Source organism: Homo sapiens, chromosome 9, assembly GCF_000001405.40.
Source record: "Homo sapiens chromosome 9, GRCh38.p14 Primary Assembly".
Classification (NCBI taxonomy): domain Eukaryota; kingdom Metazoa; phylum Chordata; class Mammalia; order Primates; family Hominidae; genus Homo; species Homo sapiens.
The window spans coordinates 112,131,780-112,154,386 of NC_000009.12; the positions used below are offsets into that span (position 1 = coordinate 112,131,780).

At 41.5% G+C, this 22,607-nt stretch overlaps 1 protein-coding gene and 1 pseudogene across 15 annotated transcripts in view, besides 1 other annotated feature; one reads left to right on the forward strand and one right to left on the reverse strand.

Annotated features, from left to right (window-relative positions):
* SUSD1 (sushi domain containing 1) overlaps positions 1-22,607 on the reverse strand; it is a 134,515-nt gene that overhangs the window by 90,997 nt on the left and 20,911 nt on the right. For 14 of the 15 annotated variants that reach the window (XR_007061338.1, XR_007061340.1, XR_007061339.1 and 11 more), the window contains exons 3-5: positions 17,465-17,620; positions 11,692-11,844; positions 10,541-10,720 (exon numbers count right to left, since the gene is read on the reverse strand). Coding sequence is in view for 11 of the 15 variants with exons in the window: in XM_047423727.1 (XP_047279683.1) it covers positions 10,541-10,720; positions 11,692-11,844; positions 17,465-17,620 (489 nt within the window). In the remaining 4 variants the exon portion in view is untranslated. The remainder of the gene's footprint in view (positions 1-10,540; positions 10,721-11,691; positions 11,845-17,464; positions 17,621-22,607) is intronic. The other variant, XM_047423728.1, reaches the window with a different exon arrangement.
* Positions 6,018-6,121, forward strand: RNU6-855P (RNA, U6 small nuclear 855, pseudogene; annotated as a pseudogene).
* Positions 12,549-13,748: an enhancer, noted in NCBI's record as "MED14-independent group 3 enhancer chr9:114906608-114907807 (GRCh37/hg19 assembly coordinates)". NCBI's record gives its function as "activates an origin of replication core promoter dependent on BRD2, BRD4, P300/CBP and CDK7 cofactors, and independent of MED14, by STARR-seq in HCT116 cells {active_cell/tissue: HCT116}" and the evidence as "EXISTENCE:reporter gene assay evidence [ECO:0000049][PMID:35650434]".

The window sequence follows — 22,607 nt, forward strand, 5'->3', positions numbered from 1 at the left end:
TTTCTCTGGCTAATTACGTTATTAAGTAACAACGTTTGCATCTGCATCAGAAATACAGTCAACTAATTATGAGCATGGCTGGGAATTTTCCCTTACTTTCCCATTGTCTGTGATTTTATTCAAATAATCAGCTTCAAAATAGGACTCCTGAGGGAGTGGAGGAGAATGTGTTGTGCTGGTTTCAAGGGCCAAATTTATAATATAACTTATATCTCATATCTTGAAGATAAAAATGTTTATCCACAGGGCTAGCTTTGATATTCTACCAAGGAAATATTCCAGAAGGAAATTTGTTTGATGAAAGGTACAGGCAACTTACGGCATCTAATCAACAACTGACTGTATCACAAATGTCACCCATATTGGCTGCTGTTTATTATACGCATCAGCACAATAACATAGATTGATGACAGAAAGAATCTAGTAATATAAAGGCTCCATCTAAGACTGTTTAGAGATCAATAAATAACAAGCTGAGAAAGAAAAAAGTGACCAACAATGCCAATAAATTGAGGCAGACATTTTGCCAACTGCCAGGGGAATTAATGATAGACCTATTCCACTTATTGATATTGACCCCAAAATAAAATCTCCCCAGAAAAATAAGCAAGTGTTATATGTAAAGCTTTGCAAAAGAGCAGAAGCAAGTGCTAAAAACTGAAGAAAATCACATTCGAGTCAGTTTTCATCTTTACCCAACAATAACAGAAATAAGTCACTAGCATGCCTTAGAATCCAGTCAGAAGGCTAACACATCACCTGGAAATTAGTGGAATGTTGTAAGGGCCTAAACAGTCCAGGCAGATTAATACCAGAGTCTGCACAATGCTTACGTTCCAAATCAGATAATTCAGCTTGATACGTATACTTACTTCATTTGTTTCATCTGTGAAAGTGTTCTCTCCCCTACTAAATGGTAAGCTCTTTCTGGGCTGTGCTTATACCCTGTATTTTTAAATATCCCCTGCAGTCCTTTGGATTATAAACATTATTTTAAACATTAATCTTTGTGATGGTCTAAGGAACCTGCGACAAAGTTTCATGTATCTTGCAGCATGTCTACATACAACCATGAATTTGACTGTTGAGGTTGGCCCCTCATTCCATGATCCTTTGGGCACTAAATTACACATATCACTCATAGTGGAGGTTGGAATCTAATGTCTCAATATCTAGCAAGTTGAACTTAGAAAATGTTATACAGCAGAAAGAACAAGGCTGGGCGCAGTAGCTCACTCCTGTAATCCTAGTACTTTGGAAGGCCAAGGCATGAGGATCACTTGAGCCCAGCAGTTTAAGACCAGCCTGGGCAACATGTTAAGACACTGTTTCTACAAAAATAAAAAACAAATTGTTTTAGTTAGCCAGGCATGTAGTCCCAGCTACTCGGGAGACTCAGGCAGGAAGATCCCTTAAGCCCAAGAATTTGAGGCTGCAGTGAGCCATGACTGCACCACCACACTCCACCCTGGGCAACCTCATGTCTGAAAAAAAGAAAAACAAAGCCAGAGGCATTACATTACCAGACTTCAAACTATACTACAAAGCTACAGCAACCAAAACAGCATGGTACTGGTACATAGGCCAATAGGCCAATGGAACAGAATAGAGAACCCAGAAATGAAGCCACACACCTGATCAGTCACCTTATCTTCTGCAAAGAAGTAAACAATAACAAGCAAAGGGGAAAGGACTCCCTATACATAAATGGTGCTGGGATAGCTGGCTAGCCATATGCAGAAGAATGAAACTGGACCCCTGCCATTTACCGTACATAAAAATTAATTCAAGATAGATTAAAGACTTGAATATAAGACCACAAACTGTAAGAATGCTGGAAGAAAAACTGCAAAACACCATTCTGGACATCAGCCTTGGGAAATAGTTTTTTATTAAGCCCTCAATAGCAATTGCAACAAAAACAAAAGTGACAAGTGAGACCTAATTAAACTAAGGAGCCTCTGTACAGCAAAAGAAACTATCAACAAAGGAAACTGATAGCCTACAGAATGGGATAAAATATTTACAACCTATGCATCTGACAAAGGTCTAATATCCAGAATCTACAAGGAACTTAAACAATTCAACAAGCAAACAACAAATAACTCCATTAAAAAGTGGGCAAAAGACATGAACAGACATGTCTCAAAAGAAGACACACAAGCAATCAAGAAACATATGAAAAAATGCTCCACAACACTAATCAGAGAAATGCAAATCAAAACCACAATGAGATTCCATCTCACACCAGTCAGAATGGCTATTATTAAAAAGACAAAAAATAACAGATGCTGGTAAGGCTACAGAGAAAAGGGAATGCTTATATGCTGTCGGTGGGAATGTAAATTAGTTCAGCCACTGTGGAAAGTAATTTGGAGATTTCTCAAAGAGCTTAAAACAGAACTACCATTCAATCCAGCAGTCCCATTACTGGTATATATCCAAAAGAAAATAAATCATTCAATCAAAAGGACACATGCACTTATATGTTCATCGCTGCACTATTCACAATAGCAAAGACATGGAATCAACCTAGATGCCCATCAGTGGTGGATTGGATAAAGAAAATGTGATACATGTACACCATGGAATACTACACAACCATAAAAAATAAAATCATGTCCTTTGCAGCAACATGGATGCAGCTAGAGGCCACTTCTACTATCCTAAGCATATTAATGCAGGAACAGAAAATTCTAATATCCTAAGCATATTAACACATGAACGGATAATCAAATACCACACGTTCTCACATATAAGTGGGAGCTAAATATTGGGTACTCATGGACATAAAGATGAGAACGACAGACATAGAGGACAAATAGAGGGAGGAGGGAGGAAGGGGGTTGAAACACTAACTGTTGGGTACCATGCTCACTACATAGGTGACAGGATCATTCATATCCCAAATCTCAGCATTATGCAATATACCATTGTAACAAACTTGCACATGTGCCCCCTGAATCTAAAATAAAAGTTGAAATTATTTAAAAAAAAAAAAAATGTGGCCAGGCACGGTGGCTCACCCCTGTAATCCCAGCATTTTGGGAGTCCAAGGCAGGAGGATCACCTGAGGCCAGGAATTAGAGACCAGCTGGCCAATGTGATGAAATCCCATCTGTACTAAAAATACAAAAATTAGCCAGGTGTGAGGCAGGCGCCTGTAATCCCAGCTACTCGGGAGGCTGAGGCAGGAGAATCGCTTGAACCCAAGAGGCAGAGGTTGCAGTGAGTCAAGTTTGTGCCATTGCACTCCAGCCTGGGCAACAAGAGCAAACTGTCTCAAAAAAAAAAAAGAAAAGAAAATGTTATTGCAAGCATAAAAGAAAAATGGGAGGGTTATAGTTTGCCATGAAGCACATTCTCAAGCGTAGTTTATTAACCGCTCTAATGAGCTCATTAGTACCCAAAAGTCTACTTGCTCTTAAGGCGATAGAAAGAAAAACAGATTACTTTTTGATGCATTTTGTATTCTAAATTCTTCCATGAACTTTATTTAGCCTTGACTAACAATATATTTTCTTCAGATCGTATTCATACAGAAAGCTCACTTGGAGGAAAAAGAACATTTTCCTTTTCATATAACACTTATCATCAATAAATAGTGTCTAATATGGAAACAACTGGAATCTGAACACTTCAGAAACTGCAGAGGAGGTGATAGGGTGTGTAAAAGCATGAATGTTAAGGGAAAAAAAGGGCTTAGCAAGATCTCTTGTAAGGATCTTCCATTTGCAGAAGTGACAATAATGTTTGTTGATGCTTTGAGCTGCATATGAATATTTCTTTTTATCAAAAGATAACATTAAAACTCTTCATTCTAATGTTCTAGTTGTAAATAGAATGTCTGAATGGAAAATAAATAAATAAGGTAAAGTAAAAACTGAAGAACTTTAGACCTTCTCATTTTATAGTAAGAAGTTTCAGAAAGACCTTATGTTTTTGATGAGGAGACCTGCCACTCCTCACTAGAAAATGGCCCACTTGCTCATGACCGTGACATTGAGCCACACCTTTTCTGCACTAGGCACAGGGCCAAGGGCTTTATTCATTATCCGATTAAATCTTCACAATAGCTCTAAGGGATGAACACCATTTTATTCCCTTCCACAAAAGGAAACTGGAGTTTAGAGAGGTTCAGAAGTGGTTGCACAACTAGTTAGTGGCTCAGATAAAACTTACACGGGTCTTTCTGAGCCAAAAGCTCATGCATCGTCCCCACTATTGGCAGCCTTATAACCAATGTCATCACTCATTCTGCACACTCAAATGACTTCAACCATTTACAAATATGGAGACATATTTTAATGGCATTTACTTGGCAAAAGTGTAACCCAACAGAGCTGTTGCATGCAACGGGTAAGTCAATGCAGTTTTTAAAAATGTGTTAAAAGATCAGTATATCGTGAGGTGCCAGAAAATGTATTTAATTGTTTTTTAATTTTTATTTATTTATTTTGAAAATTTTTGTAGAGACAGGGTCTTCCCCTGTTGCCCAGGCTGGAGTGCAGTGGCATGATCACAGCTCACTGTAACCTTGAACTCCTGGGTTCAAGTGATCCTCCCACCTCAGCATCCTGAGCAGCTAGGACTACAGGCGCGTGCCATCATGCCCAGACAATGTTATATGTTTTCGTAGAGACAAGGTCTCACTATGTTTTCCGGGCTGGTCTTGAACTCCTGGCCTCAAGCAATCTTCCCTTCTTGGTCTCCCAAAGTGCTAGGATTATAGGTGTAAGCCATCATGCCCAGTCCAGAAAATGTATTTCAAATGAGCAAACATCCTATCACCTGGAACACAGATGGCAGACACAAGGTAAATGTGCTCTCACTCGCTCCTCCCTCACCCATGGTGGCATCATTAGTCAATCACAGCATTCACCTGTGCTAAGTCTGGATGTGGTCTCAGGATCCTTTCCATACCAGCACTAAAATTCCACAGGCAGCCGTGTAATGAAGCTTATCTGCCACTCTTCATTTGAATGCACTAAATTGTGGTACAATTTATGTCGAAGCTTTTTCAAACTCTTTCCACTTTTGTAGAGATAAATCAGGCTCTACTAAGAAAAATCTCAAAAGATGAAGAGTTGACTCGGCAACAATGAATACCCTTCTGGCCGGGTCCTAGACCACACTGTGCATGAACGTGCATGTTTGTCTTGGCACCCCTCTCCTAGGGCCCTCCAGCTTTTTCATCATCACCTCCCATCTCCAGGGCACACTGACTGGGGCTGCCTTCTAGAAAAGTGCATCGGGCTCTCATCTTGGTGCATAAGCTCATGACATACAGTAAGTCACTTCCTTATCCTGGTCCTTAAACTCCTCTGTGAAATGGGAAATAATACCAATCTATAAAACTTACACACCTTAAAGAGCTGGCCACCTCTAGAGAATCAGGCTTTGCTATTAATGGACTTTGGAAACCATGTGCTCAGAAAGGAGCAGGCACAGCAGTGAGAAACCGAGGCCATGTAGTGACACAGGGGAGGAGGAGGAGGAGGAGGAGGAGGAAGGTGTCAGCGGGCAGAGGGAGCAGTTATTAGAGAAGGAAAAAAGAAGCGAAGATCTTTTAAATAACAGTTCTTTGGGAAAATGCAGCAAGCACTCTCCTCTAAATTAATTTTCTACATTCTCAGTCTAATAATCCAGATGATGGCTAATTTTCAAGGCAATCTAAATGGTTTTATATGGGGTTTCCTATGTAAATCCTTAGAGCGTTCTTTGATAGGCACTATGGCACATTTTAATCTAAGTTCTGCATTTTAGTTGATCCATTGAAAGATCATCTTAGAACTAAAATGTTATCTTTAGAAATTCTTAACCCCTGAGGATGATAATTAATGATCAAAATGCGTGTAGAGCCTACACAGCAAGTCAGAATATCAAAATGATTAACTTAGCCATGCACATCACTGGGGTTTCTTAATTATGCAATAAATTCAATGAAAATTGTGAGGGTTTCTCTTTTCTCCAAAATGAAAACAGGTTTCTTTGTCTGATATGTGAAAAATTCCATCATGCTCACTTTGGCAGCATGTATACTAAAATTGGAACGATACAGAGACTAGCATGATCCCTGTGCAAGTATGACATGCAAATGCATTAAGCATTCCATTAAAAAAATTTCTTTCAATACAGAAAGTATATAAAATATAAAAATTGGCTGGGTGCGGTGGCTCATGCCTGTAATCCCAGAACTTTGGGAGGCCAAGGTGGGCGGATCACCTGAGGTCAGGAGTTTGAGACCAGCCTGGCCAACATGGCGAAACCCCATCTCTACTAAAAATACAAAAAATTAGCTGGGCATGGTGGCAGACACCTGTAATCCCAGCTACGTGGGAGGCTGATGCAGGGAGAATGGCTTGAACCCAGGAGGCAGAGGTTGCAGTGAGCTAGATTGTGCCACTGCACTCCAGCCTGGGCAACACAGTGAGACTCCATCTCAAAAAAAAAATGTGTATATATATATATATATATGTGTATATACATATATATATATATGAAGTCCAGGATCCCAAACCCTCCCATTGGAAACTATCACCATTAACATTTTGATGTATGGCATTCTAAACATTTTTCTAAGCTTATCTGTATATAGGAACTTTTTCAAAATTAAGATTATTATTCATAGAATTTGTAACTCTGAAACATACTATTAGTACTTATCTATGTCAATAAATATTCTTTTTTTTTTTTTGAGACGGAGTCTTGCTGTGTCACCCAGGTTGGAGTGCAGTGGCACAATCTCAGCTCACAGCAACCTCCACCTCCCAATTCTCCTGCCTCAGACTCCTGAGTAGCTGGGATTACAGGTGCACGCCACCACGCCCAGGTAATTTGTTGTATTTTTAGTAGAGATAGGGTTTCACCATGCTGGCTAGGCTGGTCTCGAACTCCTGACCTCGTGATCAGCCTGCCTTGGCCTCCCAAAGTGCTGAGATTACAGGTGTGAGCCACTGTGCCTGGCCTGCAATAAATATTCTTTTTTAAATATTGTTTTTCTAACATAATTTTATTGGATACATAATATTCCATTTTAAGGGATTGATTCACTTAACCAATCTCTTGTTGTTAGACATTTGAGATTGTTTCTAATATTTCACTACAATAAATAGTTATAAACAAATATAACCACAGCAAATTAGAAGGCTTTACACTTCTTTGCATGCACAAATAAATTGGAAAATCTGGATGAAGTAAATGATTTTCTAGAAATACATAATTTACCAAAATTGATCTTAAGAGGGAAAGAAAAAGAATGGACATGATTAGATATACCAGCAAGTATAGGAAGAATTTAAAAGTAGTCCAAATAGTCCAAGGGCTACCTCTCCAATAGTGCCACATCCAGATGGTTTTATAGGTGAAATCTCCCAAATCTTTAAAAATTCTATTTGTAGTATTCCAGAAATAGAGAAAGAAGGAAATTTTTACATTCTTTTTTTTAAAATTCAGAATAACATTAATACCGAACTGAACAAAGATGGCACAGGAAAAGAAAATAGAGCAATTTCACTTATGAATATCAATGCAAGATTTATAAGTAAAATTTAGCAAATATAATCCAAATGAAAGGAATAAAACACCAAAAACCCAGATTAATTCATTCCAGCAATTAGTACTGATCATTATCAGGAAATCTAACAATATAACCCACACATTATTATTATTATTTTTTCTTTATGAGATAGGATCTTGCTCTGTCACCCAGGCTGGAGGGCAGGGTGTGATCATGGCTCACTGCAGCCTCAACCTCACAGGCTCAAGTGGTCCTCCCACCTCAGCCTCCCAAGTAGCTGGGACTATAGGCATGCACCACCACTCCCAGGCTGGTCTTGAACTCCTGGGCTCAAGCTATCTGCCTGCCTGGGCCTCCCAGAGTGCTGGAATTACAGACATGAGCCACTGCATCTGGCCACATCGTTATTTAAAAGAAGAAAAAAAATATATAATCACCTGCCTAAAAGACATGATAAAAATAACTTATTTCCAATTAAAAAAAAAAGAAATTCCTAAACAGTGGGAATAGATTGATGTTTCCTTTAGATTATGGACATATAGCCAAAAACTAGAAAAATGGTAATTAAAAAAATTTTTTTTCACTTTTCAGATGGAAACAGGCACATAAAATGATAATATTTGTAGACAGAGAAACAGAAAACCAGGTCAAGTGTGGTGGCTCATGCCTGGAATCCCAGCACTGTGGGAGGCAGAGACAGGCAGATCACTTGAACCCAGGAGTTCAAGACCAGCCTGGGCAACATGGCGAAACCCCATCTCTATAAAAAATACAAAAATTGGGGCCGGGCGCGGTGGCTCACGCCTGTAATCCCAGCACTTTGGGAGGCCGAGGCGGGTGGATCATGAGGTCAGGAGATCGAGACCATCCTGGCTAACAAGGTGAAACCCCGTCTCTACCAAAAATACAAAAAATTAGCCGGGCGCGGTGGCGGGCGCCTGTAGTCCCAGCTACTGGGGAGGCTGAGGCAGGAGAATGGCGTGAACCCGGGAAGCGGAGCTTGCCGTGAGCCGAGATTGCGCCACTGCAGTCCGCAGTCCGGCCTGGGCGACAGAGCGAGACTCCGTCTCCAAAAAAAAAAAAAATACAAAAATTGTCCAGGCATGGTAGTTCGTGCCTGTAGTCCAGTTACTCAGGAGGCTGAGGTGGGAGGATGGCTTGAGCCCAGGAGCACCAGTGCACTCGAGTCTGGGTGGCAGAGCAAGACTCTGTCTCAAAAAAAAAAAGAAAAAAGAAAAGAAAAGAAAGGAAAAAGGAAAAGGAAAAAGAAACAGAAAGCCAAAATTTTTAAAAAACTAACCAAAAGCCAGTGTCACCATAAAAGCAGAAGCAGCAAAACAAAGTGGCTGAAAATAATTCTGAAACTAGAATTCCTGGGTTCAAGTTCAGCTCTGTCTCTAGTTGTGTGACCTTAAACAAATTACAGTCATGCATCATTTAACAATCTGCATACATTTTGAGAAATGCATCATTAGGCAATTCCTTCATTGTGTGAAGTCACAGAGTGTACTTACACAAACCTAGATAGTAGAGCCTGCTACTCACTTAGGCTGTATGGTATACCTATTGCTCCTAGGCTACAAATTCACACAGCATGTTACTATACTGATTACTGTAGGCAACTATAACACAATAAGAAGTACTTATATATCTAAATATAGAAATGATACAGTAAAAATACAGAATAAAAGATAAAAAAATGATACACCTGTAATAGGGCACTTACCATGAATGGAGCTTGCAGGACTGGAAGTTGGTCTGGGTGAGTCAGTGAGTGAATAGTGAGTGAATGTGAAGGCCTAGGACATTACTGTACACTTTTATGTATAGTAATGTACATACAGTAATATACATACAGTAATGTACTTGCTGGCAGAGCAGTAAGTTTGTTTACACCAGCAATGCCACAAACACGTGAGTGTGATGCACTACAACATTATGATGGCTACGATGTCACTAGGCAATAGGAATTTTTCAGTCTCATTATGATCTTATGGGACCACTACAATGTGGTCCATCATCATATATAAAGTGCTTAAAATAATACTTGGCACACAGTGCCATATGAGTAGACATGATTAGATATGCCAAATATCAGCCAGGCGCAGTGGCTCACACCTGTAATCCCAGCACTGTGGGAGGCCAACACGGGCAGATAACTTAAGGTCAGGAGTTCAAGACTAGCCTGGCCAACACGGTGAAACCCCATCTTTACTAAAAACACAAAAATTAGCCGGGTGTAGTGGTGGGTGCCTGTAATCCCAGCTACTCGAGTGGATGAGTCATGAGAATCGCTTGAACCCAGGAGGCAGAGGTTGCAGTGAGCCAAGGTTGTGCCACTACACTGCAGACTGGGTGACAAAGCGAGATTCTGTCTCAAAAACTATATATATATATAAAAAATATATAATATATTACATGTAATGTATTATATATAATATATATTACATGTAATATATAATATATAATACATTACATGTAATATATTACATATATTGTATATATTGTATATTATATATAATATATGTTATTCCCACATGACGTTTTTATATATATATGTATATATATACATATATGTGTGTGTATATATATGTATATATATATGTTCATTCCCACATGACTTCTGGGAATATATATATATATATACACCTAACATCAAAAAACTAACATCAGGAATGAAGAAACACCCAAACCATTTCCCTAATAGTCAGGAATAAAAAAATAATATTCAAAGGCAACACTACCATTTAAGTCTTTGTTCTAAAAATACAAAGTGATCAATCAAGAGAAAAACATAACTATTATAAAGAAAGAAAAATTTATGAATGGAATTATGATTTGCAGATGATATGATACTATTCCTGAAAAATCAAGAAAATCACCTGAAAATCTATGAGAAACAAATAGGAATTTTAAAGGTTTACTTAACTCATTTATTCCCTGAAACTGAAATTTAGAGAAAAATATGAAAACAGTTTCAAGGTGGTATGAATTGGGAACCTGTATTTTTTGAAAACTCACCTTGGCAATGTAATTTTGGGGACTCCCATGTGCCCAGGCCTGTGCAGCTTGAAACTGTATCTTCTGGAACACTGAAGAATCCTTCTCTGCAAGCATAACGAACCTGGCTGCCCAGACTAGACGTATAATTTCCTATGATATAGCCATCTGGAACCTCAGGAGGGGTACCACAGTCTATTTCTGAAAATAAATTAATGTCAAATTCATTACCTCGTGAATGTAAATCTTCAAAATTCACAATCTCTCTCCACCTCTACCCTATTCCTCACACACACACACCCCCGAGCCATATTTTAAGTACACTGGTTCATTCCCACATGACTTCTGGGAACATTTCCAACAATTGTCTTTATTCAATCTTTTGGCCTTCCATAGGTAAAGCATCTATACATGCACAAAGCTGAAATAACTTAGCAATCAACCCTCACTAATTTACACTAACTAAAGAGAAGCCTTGTCCAGTGAAATAAAAAATCTGAATTGCAAAATACCTTAAGATATATGTACCTTGATTATTTTCAGGGTCACTTTTGAGATGCAGGGACCTTACCAAATCATTGGCATTTACTATCTAACATAGTAGTTAATATCGGAATATCTATTAACTGCTAATAAAAATCCTTTAAGTTTATGAATTTTAGCTTTTTTTTTTTTTTTTTTTTTTTTTTTTTTTTTTTTTTTTAAGACAGAGATCTCACTCTGTTGTCCAGGCTGGAGTGCAATGGCATGATCTCGGCTCATTGCAACCTCTGTCTCCTGGGTTCAAGAAATTCTCATGCCTCAGCCTCCTGAGTAGCTGGGATTACAGGTGCCCACCACCACACCTGGCTATTTTTTTTTATTTTTAGTAGAGATAGGGTTTCACCGTGTTGGCCAGGCTGGTCTCGAACTCCTGACCTCAAGTGATCCACCAGCCTCGGCCTCCCAAAGTGCTGAGATTACAGAGCTACTGCTCCTGGCCTAATTTTAGCTTTTTTAACATGGCCCCCTGTAACTTGATTGTTGTTATTTGCTTTATGTCATAGGTTGTACAAAATGTGCAAAGGATCAGATCACCTCCACCTGCCTCCCCAACACAGGCTTGGAGCAGAAGAAAGTCACCATCAACAGAATTTCACGTTGAGATGCCGCAATTTTTGGCAGAAACCCACCTGTGCATGATGTGGCATCGGTGGTCGGGTGGAAAGGTTCAGGTCCATTCCTTGGCAAGTATCCATCCATACAGTAGCATTCAAAGCTCCCATGAGTGTTCACGCATCGCCCTCCATGCCTGCACAGGCCAGAAACTTCACACTCATCTATGTCTTGGGACCCAATCCAAATAGAGAAAAGGAGATAAAAACAGAAAAAAGAAAAAAAAAAGGAGAGGATATTGTGACAGCCATTTTTTCACATTTTCAAGCTACTCTTGTAAAAAGATGCATTTGTTTGCAATTGTATCATACATTTTATTTTATGCCTTATGGGTTCTTCTCATATATCGTTCATATCATAGGCACTGAAAACATAGCAAGTGCTCAATAAATGTTTGTCAGTGTGTTCTGGGATTTTACAAAAGCTGATAACCATCACCGGCTCCCTGACACCCAACAAAATGAACCAAAAACATAAATATATCCAATCACTAAAAAATATCCTGACCGGGCATGGTGGCTCACACCTGTAATCCCAGCACTTTGGGAAGCCGAAGCATGTGGATCACTTGAGGTCAGGAGTTCGAGACCAGCCTGGCCAACATAGTGAAACCTCATCTCTAGTAAAAATACAAAAATTAGCCAGCCATGGTGGTACATGCCTGTAGTCCCAGCTATTCAGGAGGCTGAGGCAGGAGAATCACTTGAACCTAGGAGGCGGAGCTTGCAGTGAGCCGAGATCACGCCACTGCACTCAGCCTGGGTGACAGAGCAAGACCCCGTCTCAAAGAAAAAAAAAAAGAAAATCCAATCACTAAAAAATCCAATCACTATAAATATATCCAATCACTAAAAGAATCCAGTCACTATAAATATATCCAGTCACTAAAATATATCCAGTCACTATAAATATATCCAATCACTATAAATATATCCAATCACTATAAATATATCCAATCACTATAAATATACCCAATCATTATAACAAAAGAATGGTCCCAACCTCATACTAAAACATCTAAAGTAGGGCTTCAGATAGAAAACAATTTACAGGCCTGGCACGGTGGCTCATGTCTGTAATCCTGGCACTTTGGGAGGACTGCTTGAGTCCAGGAGTTTGAGACCAGCCTGGGAACGAAGTGAGAACCTGTCTTAAAATTAACTTAAAATATAAACAACATTTTTAATGTTTTAAATAAGGAAAACAATCTCCAGGAGAGTGAAAATGCCAGCCCATGAGTATAGGATGGTGTGGCAGGTAATAAGGTGGTAACTTAATTAGGAAAGGTCTTACTAATTTTATGAAAATGAGACAGCCTTAAAACAGCCTTCTGGAAGGACAGGACATGCCCTTTTGCAGATTTTTTTGCACCTGACTGAAGACTATCAGAGGCAGCAGGTATAGGGTAAAAACTGCCCAATAAGCCAGAGGCTGGAGAAGAAATCTCTCTTCCAGTTAGTAGTTTTTTCCCTCAGAACTGACTTTAAAACTTTAAGAATTCCATCAGCTGGGCATGCCTGGGCATGCCTATGGTCCCAGTTGCTCAAGAGGCTGAGGCAGGAGGATTGCTTTAAGTCCGGGAGTTCAAGGCCGGCCTGGGCAACACAGCAAGACCCTCATCTCTAAAAATAATAATAATACTATTTTCATCAGAGCCACATAGTTCAATTCCACTTGGAGAAAACAAAAAAGCACCCTAACTGAAATTCCTAGGACATTGGCATAAAAACATCAGGGATTGAGCAGAAGACAGGAAGCAGCATGATTGAAGAAAGTCTGTTTTTTAAAAAAAAAATTTCAAAAAGCTAGTAATACCATAATTTCCTTTTTTTTTTTTTTTTTTTGAGACAGAGTCTCACTCTGTTGCCCAGGCTGGAGTGCAATGGTGTGATCTTGGCTTATTGCAACCGCTGCCTCCTGACTTCAACTGATTCTCCTGCCTCAGCCTCCTGAGTAGCTGGGACTACAGGTGTGTACCACCACGCCGGCTAATTTTTGTGTGTCTTTTTGTAGAGACAGGGTTTCACCATGTTGGCCAGGCTGGTCTCGAACTCCCGACCTCAAATTGTCCACCCAGTTGGCTCCCAAAGTGCTGGGATTACAGGCATGAGCCAATGCACCTGGCTATAATTTCTTTTTCTTAAATGACATTTTAGCCCCCAAAAGATAAAAGAAAATTGCCTCAGAATCCTTTTGAACTTTTATATTCTTTATTCTTTTTCCTTTTGGGTCTTGGATCAATGAACGCCTCTCCACTCACACCAATTATTGTTTGGGAACCAGTAATTCTATTCAATTGCTGAAGGAGCCCATCCAAGTCAAACCACCCTCACACAAGAAGTGCCACAGAGCTTCTTCTCCTGGGTTGTGGCTCATGGTGGTTTCCATGATTCCCAGGAGTCATTCAGGGGGCAGTTCTAAGGGCCAGAACATCTGCCTGTTCTCCATGACTGGCTGGAATCATCTCACACTAGAACCCCAGCAATTCATTCCTCCTCTAACATTGGTGACATTCAGAGGCCTACCTGCAACCAGCTCCTGAGCTTGATGTTGACTCTGCAAAGCACAATAAACACCTGGATGCAGGATTCCTTGGAATCCAGGAACTAGGATTCACATCCTGTGGTTCCAGGCAAACAGTGACTAACTGCTGATACCCCAACACTTGCTAAGCTCTGCCCCAGCTAAAGCCCGCTGATGTTTCTCTGGCAACTGTGATTCTGAAAGAAACAGTATTATCAAGAAAAGCAATTCATCAGCTTTTACAAAGTGATAACTGGAGAACTCACAAGGAAAGGTCATGGGAATGGCTGCCAGTGGACATGGTCTTCATGGTGGGGGCATGAAAATGCTCCAAAATGAGACAGTGGTGATGCTAGCACAACTTTGTGAATATACTAAAAACCACTGAGTTGTATACATCAAAAGGGTGAATTTGATGGTATGTAAACTATAGCTCAATTTTTTACAAAAGAGAAGGTCATTCAATCATTGCAAGAATGGAATAAATAAAAGTAGAGCCTAGATCTGGATTTAGTTCCAGGCAGATTAGGTCTAGTTCGGCTGACACCTATTTGGCCCTTACATAAAATATTTTTTTCTCTTTCCTCTTCCCCTCTTCTTCCCTCCTCCTGTTCCCACCAATCTTCTCACTCTTCCTCCTCCTCATTCTTCTTCCTAACTTAAAAAAAAAAAAAATTAAGACAAAGTCTCGCTCTGTCACCCAGGCTGGAGTGCAATGGCACAACCTTGGCTCACTGCAGCCTCAAAGTCCTGGGCTCCAGCGATCCTCCCACCTCAGCCTTCCAAGTAGCTAGGACAACAGGCACAAGCCACCACATCCAGCTAATTTTCTTATTTTTTGTAAAGATGAAGTCTCATTATGTTGCCCAAGCTGGTCTTGAACTCCTGGTCTGAAGTGATCCTCCAGCCTTGGCCTCCCAAAGTCCTGGGGATACAGGCGTGAGTCACCATGCCCAGCCTTCTTCATAACTTTCAAAAGCTGAATTCATCTCTTGGAACTATAAACATACTGATAAATATACAGTTGTAAGTTTTCCCTGGCAAACTCCCACAGCCTAGAAAACACAATTTCAGGGATCATATTCTCCAGAAGATTCCCCTGATTCCTTCCTCACAGCCAAGATAAGTGACCCCTAGATTCCAGTAAATGCTGTTTGCTTACCTATGACTAACACTTTATACTGAAATTAGCTGTCTGCTCGTCACCCTTCCACTAGCACAGTCTTGTCATATAAGAAGTGCATGAAAGGCCAGGCGTGGTGGCTCACGTCTGTAATCCCAGCACTTTGGGAGGCCGAGGCAGGTGAATCAGCCGAGGTCAGGACTTCGAGACAAGCCTGGCCAACATGGTGAAACCCTGTCTCTACTAAAATACAAAAATTAGCTGGGCATGGTGGCGGGTGCCTGTAATCCCAGCTACTCAGGAGGCTGAGACAGGAGAAGCACAGGGGAATCGCTTGAACGCAGGAGGCAGAGGTTGCAGTGAGCCGTGATTGTGCCACTGCACTCCAGCCTGGGTCACAGTGGCTCACGCCTGTAATCCTAGCACTTTGGGAGGCCAAGGCAGGCAGATCACAATGTCAAGAGATCAAGACCATCCTGGCCAACATGGTGAAACCCCGTCTCTCCTAAAAGTACAAAAATTAGCCAGTCGTGGCAGTGCGCACCTGTAGTCCCAGCTACTCAGGAGGCTGAAGCAGGAGAATCGCTTGAACCCGTGAGGCAGAGCCTGCAGTGAGCCGAGATCATGCCACTGCACTCCAGCCTGGGCAACAGAGCGAGACTCCGTCTCAAAAAGAAAAGAAAAGAAAAAGTACATGAGAAATGTGTATTGAATAAACAAAACACTAGATCATCATCTTATATGCTTTTTTTTTAGTGTCTTTTCTTCTTAATATACAAAATTTAATACTGTAACATTGTACTTCTGCAACCATGCAGCCAGTAATTTGCTACCTAGAACAACAGGATATTATAAAATGTTTTCTCTGAAGGAATGTGTTCATTCGTGCCAAGAATAAATCAAATGTATCCTTTGAGAGATTCTGCCTTGGTACAGGTCAAGAGGGAGGATGAATCCGAGCATAAGAACCTACGGTTCCTGGTAGCTAAGAAGATAAAATATGTTCTCCTTTCATTTTATTTTTCCTGAAAACCTTTAAATATCACGAAGCTTTCCAGCAGAGTCATTAAGTCTATGCAAAAGCATCTTAGAACCAGGAGGCTTTTTCTGCCTTTCCTCTTCATTATTGTTCAAAGATTTTCCTAGAAAGCCAGAGAGCAACATTAAATAGCGTATGCTGTTTATAGAGTTCAGATAACAGAGGAGCCGCTAAAAATTAGGAGGGTTTGTCCCCACCCTGTATTCGACCAGCCTATGCTCAGAGACCCAGCCTACAAAGCTCCCATGCTCCCAAAACTCGCACTCCTCACTCAGCGCACACATGTGGGAGGCAAGCCCACATCTCTTAACAGGGACAACTCTGACCTCCTGTGAGCCAACAGCCGGGTGCCAGCCCCCAGATTAGTGTGCTCTGAGCTGAGGAGTGCCACTCACCCCAAGGACCCCCGACCTGTGGTTACAGGAACCTGCAGGAGGCACACCATCTCCAGAGAGTCCCTCCTCACTATTCATTATGAAAACGATCAGGCCAGGTGCAGTGGCTCATGACTAATCCCAGCACTTTGGGAGGCCGAGGCGGGCAGATCACTTGAGGCCAGGAGTTTGAGACCAGCCTGGCCAATGGGGCAAAACCGCATCTCTACCAAAAATACAAAAATTAGCTGAGCATGGTGGTGCGTGCCTGTAATCCCAGCTACTTAGGAAGCTGAGGCAGGAGAATCGCTTGAACCCAGGAGGCGGAGGTTACAGAGAGTCGAGATTGTGCCACTGCACTCCAGCCTGGGCAACAGAGTGAGACCCCCCCCTTAAAAAAAAAAAAGTTCAAACAAAACATTACAATGAAAGAAAAAGAATATTACAATGAACTCCCATAGACCCACATCCCCCCAAGATTCAATCGTTGTTTACATTTTGCCATTTAAAGTAGCTTACAGACTAAAGGAACACTATTATAGATACATCATCATAACACCCCTAGATACCTCAGCATGCATCTCCCAAAATAAGAATATTATCCTATATACCACAATACCATTATGCCATCTAACAAAACTAACATTAATTCCCTAATATTAACAAATACACAGCCCAGATACTATCCTGCCATCGCCAATTGTCAACACCGCAGCCCCCTTCTTGAGTACCTGTACAAAAGGTGCCATCGTTGGGAATGAATGTCTTGTTGTTGTTTGTGGCTCGATATCCTTCCAGGCAAATGCAATAGAAGCCCCCGGGGGTGTTGTGGCAAGATGTGTGGTTCCCACAGACAAGAGTGGCTCCAAACTGGCACTCATTTTTATCTGTTGACACACAGACAAGGCACCGGAAGAGCTATCAATCCACACCGACTTCAACAGCCCAGACTGTCCTCCCATGCTATGGACTCGGGAACCAACGTTCTGTGACCACACCTTAGTGATCTATTTCTCCAGCCTCTTCTCCTTTCACGATGCTCCCCAGACTACAGGACCTGGGCCCCTCGTAGTTATGTGCCAGGAGTGTATGAAACCCCAAGAGAAACACAACACCTCAATCTGGCAATCCGTCTGATTTGAAGATTGGGAGAAGAGGGTTCTCTTTGAACTTTTCCAAGCTTAAAAAGATCTTTTCAGAGGCCCACGGAAACAAACCAGCAGAATTCCCCTTTTCCAGTTCAGCCATTCTCATGGTTTTCCATGAAAGCCAGGGTAGGGTGACTTTACAGCCAGTGATTAACTGGAAAATTTCTTCCTTCTGAACTACCAAGAAACACAATGGAATTAGTGCTGCAGCCTCATCCGGAGCAGGGCTAATGCAGAAGCAGGAATAGCTCATGCTAATGGTCAATGACCTGTGGTGAATAATGTTAGTCCCTCAGTGCAGAGGCCTGGAACATGGATGCTCGATGAGTCCCCAGAAGCTTGCCCAGAGTGTTTTTCATTGAATAATATGAAAGTGAAAGATGCAAAATGAACGTAAATCTCCCTCTCATCTCTGCCCTCTAGCTCAGGGGTCAGCAAACTTTTTCTCACAGTATCTGTTGCAACAACTCACCTGTGCTCATGGGCACGAAAGCAGCTGTAGACAACAGGTAAACTACCAAGCAATGCTACGTACCAGTAAAACTCCACCTACAGAAACAGGCAGCAGGTCGAACTTGGCCCATGGGCCATAGTTTGCTGACTCTGCCTAACCCTCTAATTTAAGAGGAAACTCCTGTGACCAAATTGTTTATGCATCCTTTTAGAGCTGATCTACACAGTTAGCTTTTTTTGGGAGAAAAATCATCAACTTATGAATTTGTAGCTTGTTTGTTACTTCGTGTTTTATTTCACCAGTGGGCCCCTCATATCCGTTTAATGGCCTCTCACAATTGCACTCAATTCTTATTCAACCAAAAGTACCCTCCAGAAGATCTGGGTGGGTTTTTTATTATTATTTTTATTTTACAGTCATATGTCACTTAATGATGGGGACACATACTGAGGATTGTGTCATTAGGCAAGTTCATGATTGTGGGAACATCATAGGGTGTATTTACACAAACCTAAATGGCATAGCCAACTACACACTTAGGTTATATGGTAGAGTGTAGTGCTCCTAGGCTAGAAACCTGTATAGCATGTTACTGTACTGAATACCGTAGGCAACTGTAACACAGTGGGAAGTATTAGTGTATCTAAATATATCTAAACATAGAAGTGGTACAGTAAAAATACAGTATAAAATGTAAAAAACTGATACATCTCTAGAGAGCACTTACCATGAAATGGAACTTGCAGGACTGGAAGCTGCTCTAGGTAAGTCAGTGAGTGAGTGAATAGGAAGGCCTAGAACGTTATGATACATGACTGTAGACTTTTATTTTTATATAGAGACAGGGTCTCCCTCTGTCACCCAGGCTAAATTGCACTGGCACGATCATAGCTCACTGCAGCCTTGAACTCCTGGGCTCAAGCAATCCTCTTGCCTCAGCCTCCTGGGGCTAGGAGCAGCTAGCACTACAGGCACAAGCCATCGTGCCCAGTTAATTTCTAGTTTCTAATTGTAGAGATCAGCTCTCACTATGTTGCCCAGGCTGGTCTCAAACTCCTGGCCTTAAGGGATCCTCCCACCTTAGCCTCCCAAAGAGCTCCCAAAGGGATTACAGGTGTGAGCCACCACATCCAGCCTTACTGTAAACTTTCTAAACACTGTACACATAGGCTACACTAAATTTATAAAAGTATCTTTCTTGGCCAGGCACGTTGGTTCACACCTGTAATCCCAGAACTTTGGGAGGCTGAGGCAGGAGGATCGCCTGAGGTCAGGAGTTCGAGACCAGCCTGGCCAACATGGTGAAACCCCATCTCTACTAAAAATACAAAAATTAGCTGGGCATAATGGCGGGCACCTGTAATTCCAACTACTCAGGAGGCTGAGGCAGGAGAATTGCTTGAACCCGGGAAGTGGAGGTTGTAGCAAGCAGAGATCATGCCATTGCACTCCAGCTGGGCAACAAGAGTGAAATTCCATCTCAAAAAAAAAAAAGTATCTTTCTTGGCCGGGCACAGTGGCTCACGTCTGTAATCCCAGCACTTTGGGAGGCCAAGGCAGGCAGATCACCTGAGGTCAGGAGTTCAAGACCATCCTGGCCAACAAGGTGAAACCCCGTCTCTACTAAAAATACAAAAATTAGGCCGGGTGCGGTGGCTCATGCCTGTAATCCCAGCACTTTGGGAGGCTGAGGTGGGCGGATCACCTGAGGTCAGGAGTTCAAGACCAGCCTCAACATGGAGAAACCCCGTCTCTACTAAAAATACAAAATTAGCCGGGCACAGTGGTACATGCCTGTAATCTCAGTTACTCAGGAGGCTGAGGCAGGAGAATTGCTTGAACCTGGGAGGCAGAGGTTGCAGTGAGCCAAGATCGCGCCATTGCACTCCAGCCTGGGCAACAAGAGCAAAACTCCATCTCAAAAAAAAAAATACAAAAATTAGCCAGTTGTGGTGGTGCACGCCTGTAATCCCAGCTACTTGGGAGGCTGAGGCAGGAGAATCATTTGAACCCAGGAGGCGGAGGTTGCAGTGAGCCGAGATCGCGCCATTGCACTCCAGCCAGGGTGACAGAGTGAGACTCTGTCTCAAAAAAAAAAAAAAAAGGGATCTTTCTTCAATAATAAATTAACTTTAGCTTACTGTAGCTTTTTTACTTAAACTTTTCAATTTTTTTAACTTATTGACTCTTTTGTAATAATGCTTAACTTAAAATACAAACACATTCTACAGCTGTACGAAGAATTTTTTTTTGTTTCTTTATATGAAATTCTATATGGTTTTTTTTGTTTTTTGTTTTTTTTCTGGAGACAGGGTCTTGCTCTGTCACCCTGACTGGAGTGCAGTGGTGTGATCATAGCTCACTGCAACCTCAACCTCCTAAGCTCAAGTGATTCTCCCACCCCAACCTCCCTGAGTAGCTAGGACCACAGGTGACTGCTACTGTGCCTGGATAATTTTTTTTTTTTTTTTTTGTACAGATGGAGGGGTCTCAATATGTTGCTCAGACTCATCTCGAACTCCTGGCCTCAAGGATTCCTTGTGCCTCCACGTCCCAAAGTGCTGGGATTAGATTGCAGGCATAAGCCACCACATCCAGCCTTTTATTAGCTTTTTTCTTCTATTATTTTTTTTAATCTTTTTTTTTTTTTTTTTTTTGTAAACAGGGTCTTGCATCATAACCAAGGCTGGAGTGCAGTGGTGTGACCATAGCTCACTGCAGCCTCAACCTCCTCGGCTCAAGGGATCCTCCTGCCTCGACTTCTTGAATAGCTAGGACCACAGGTACCTGCCACCACACCTGGCTAATTTTTTAATTGGAAAAAAAATGTTTTTACTTTTTAAACTTTCTTATTAAAAACTCAGACACAGGCCAGGCACAGTGATTTGCATCTGTAATCTCAGCACTTTGGGAGGCCAAGGCAAGAGGATCACTTGAGCCCAGGAGTTCAAGAAGAGCCTGGGCAACATAATGAGACCTTGTCTCTGCAAAAAATAAACAAAATTAGCCTGATGTGGTGGTTTGCCTCTGTAGTCTCAGCTACTTGGGAGGCCGAGGTGGAAGGATCACTTGAGCCCAGGAGGCTGAGGCTGTAGTGGGCCGAGATCACACCACTGCACTCCAACACAGGTGACAAAGTGAGACCCTGGCTAAAAAAAAAAAAAAATTCTAAGACACAAACACACACACACACAATAGCTTAGGCAATAGCTTAGGCCTACACATGGTCAGGATCATGTTATCACTGTCTTCCGCTTCCACATCTTGTCCCACTGGAAGGTTGTCAAGGGCAAGAGCATACATGGAGCTGTCATCTCCTATGATAACAATGCTTTCTTCTGCAATACATCCTGAAAGACCTGCCTGAGGCTGTTTAGTAGTTAAGTTTTTTTTAATAAGTAGAAGGAGTACATTCTAAAATAATGATAAAACATATAGCAAATACATAATCCAGTAATATAATCATTTATTGTCATTTTCAAGTATTACATACTATACTTTTTTTTTTTTTTTTTTGAGACGGAGTTTTGCTCTTGTCACCCAGGCTGGAGTGCAATGGCGCGATCTCGGCTCACTGCAACCTCTGCCTCCTGGGTTCAAGCAATTCTCCTGTCTCAGCCTCCTGAGTAGCTGAGATTACAGGCGCCTGCCACCATGCCTGGCTAATTTTTGTATTTTTAGTAGAGATGGGGTTTCACCATGTTGGACAGGCTGGTCTTGAACTCCTGGCTTCAGGTGATCCTCCTGCCTTGGCTTCCAAAAGTGCTGGGATTACAGGCATGACCCACCATGCCTGGCCTATGTACTATACATTATTGTATGTGCTATACTTTTATACAACTGGCAGCACAGTAGGTTTGCTTATACCAGCATCACTACAAACACATAATGCATTGTGTTATAACATTATGACAGCTACGACATCTCTAGGTGATAGGAATTTTTCAGCTCCATTATATAATCTTATGGGCCCACTGTTGTATATTCGGTCTATCATTAACCAAAACATCGTTATATGGCACATGACTGTATTACCTTTGTAAAATGTAATTGGCTTTGGAACATGATTCACCATATTAAAACTATCAGTGGGGCCAGGTGCAGTAGCTCACACCTGTAATCCCAGCACTTTGGGAGGCCAAGGCAGGCAGATCACTTGAGCCCAGTAGTTCAAGACCAGCCTGGGCCACATGGCAAAACCCCACCTCCACACACACACACAAAAAAAAAAAAAAAAAGAGAGAGAAAAATTAGCTGCACGTGGTGGTGTGT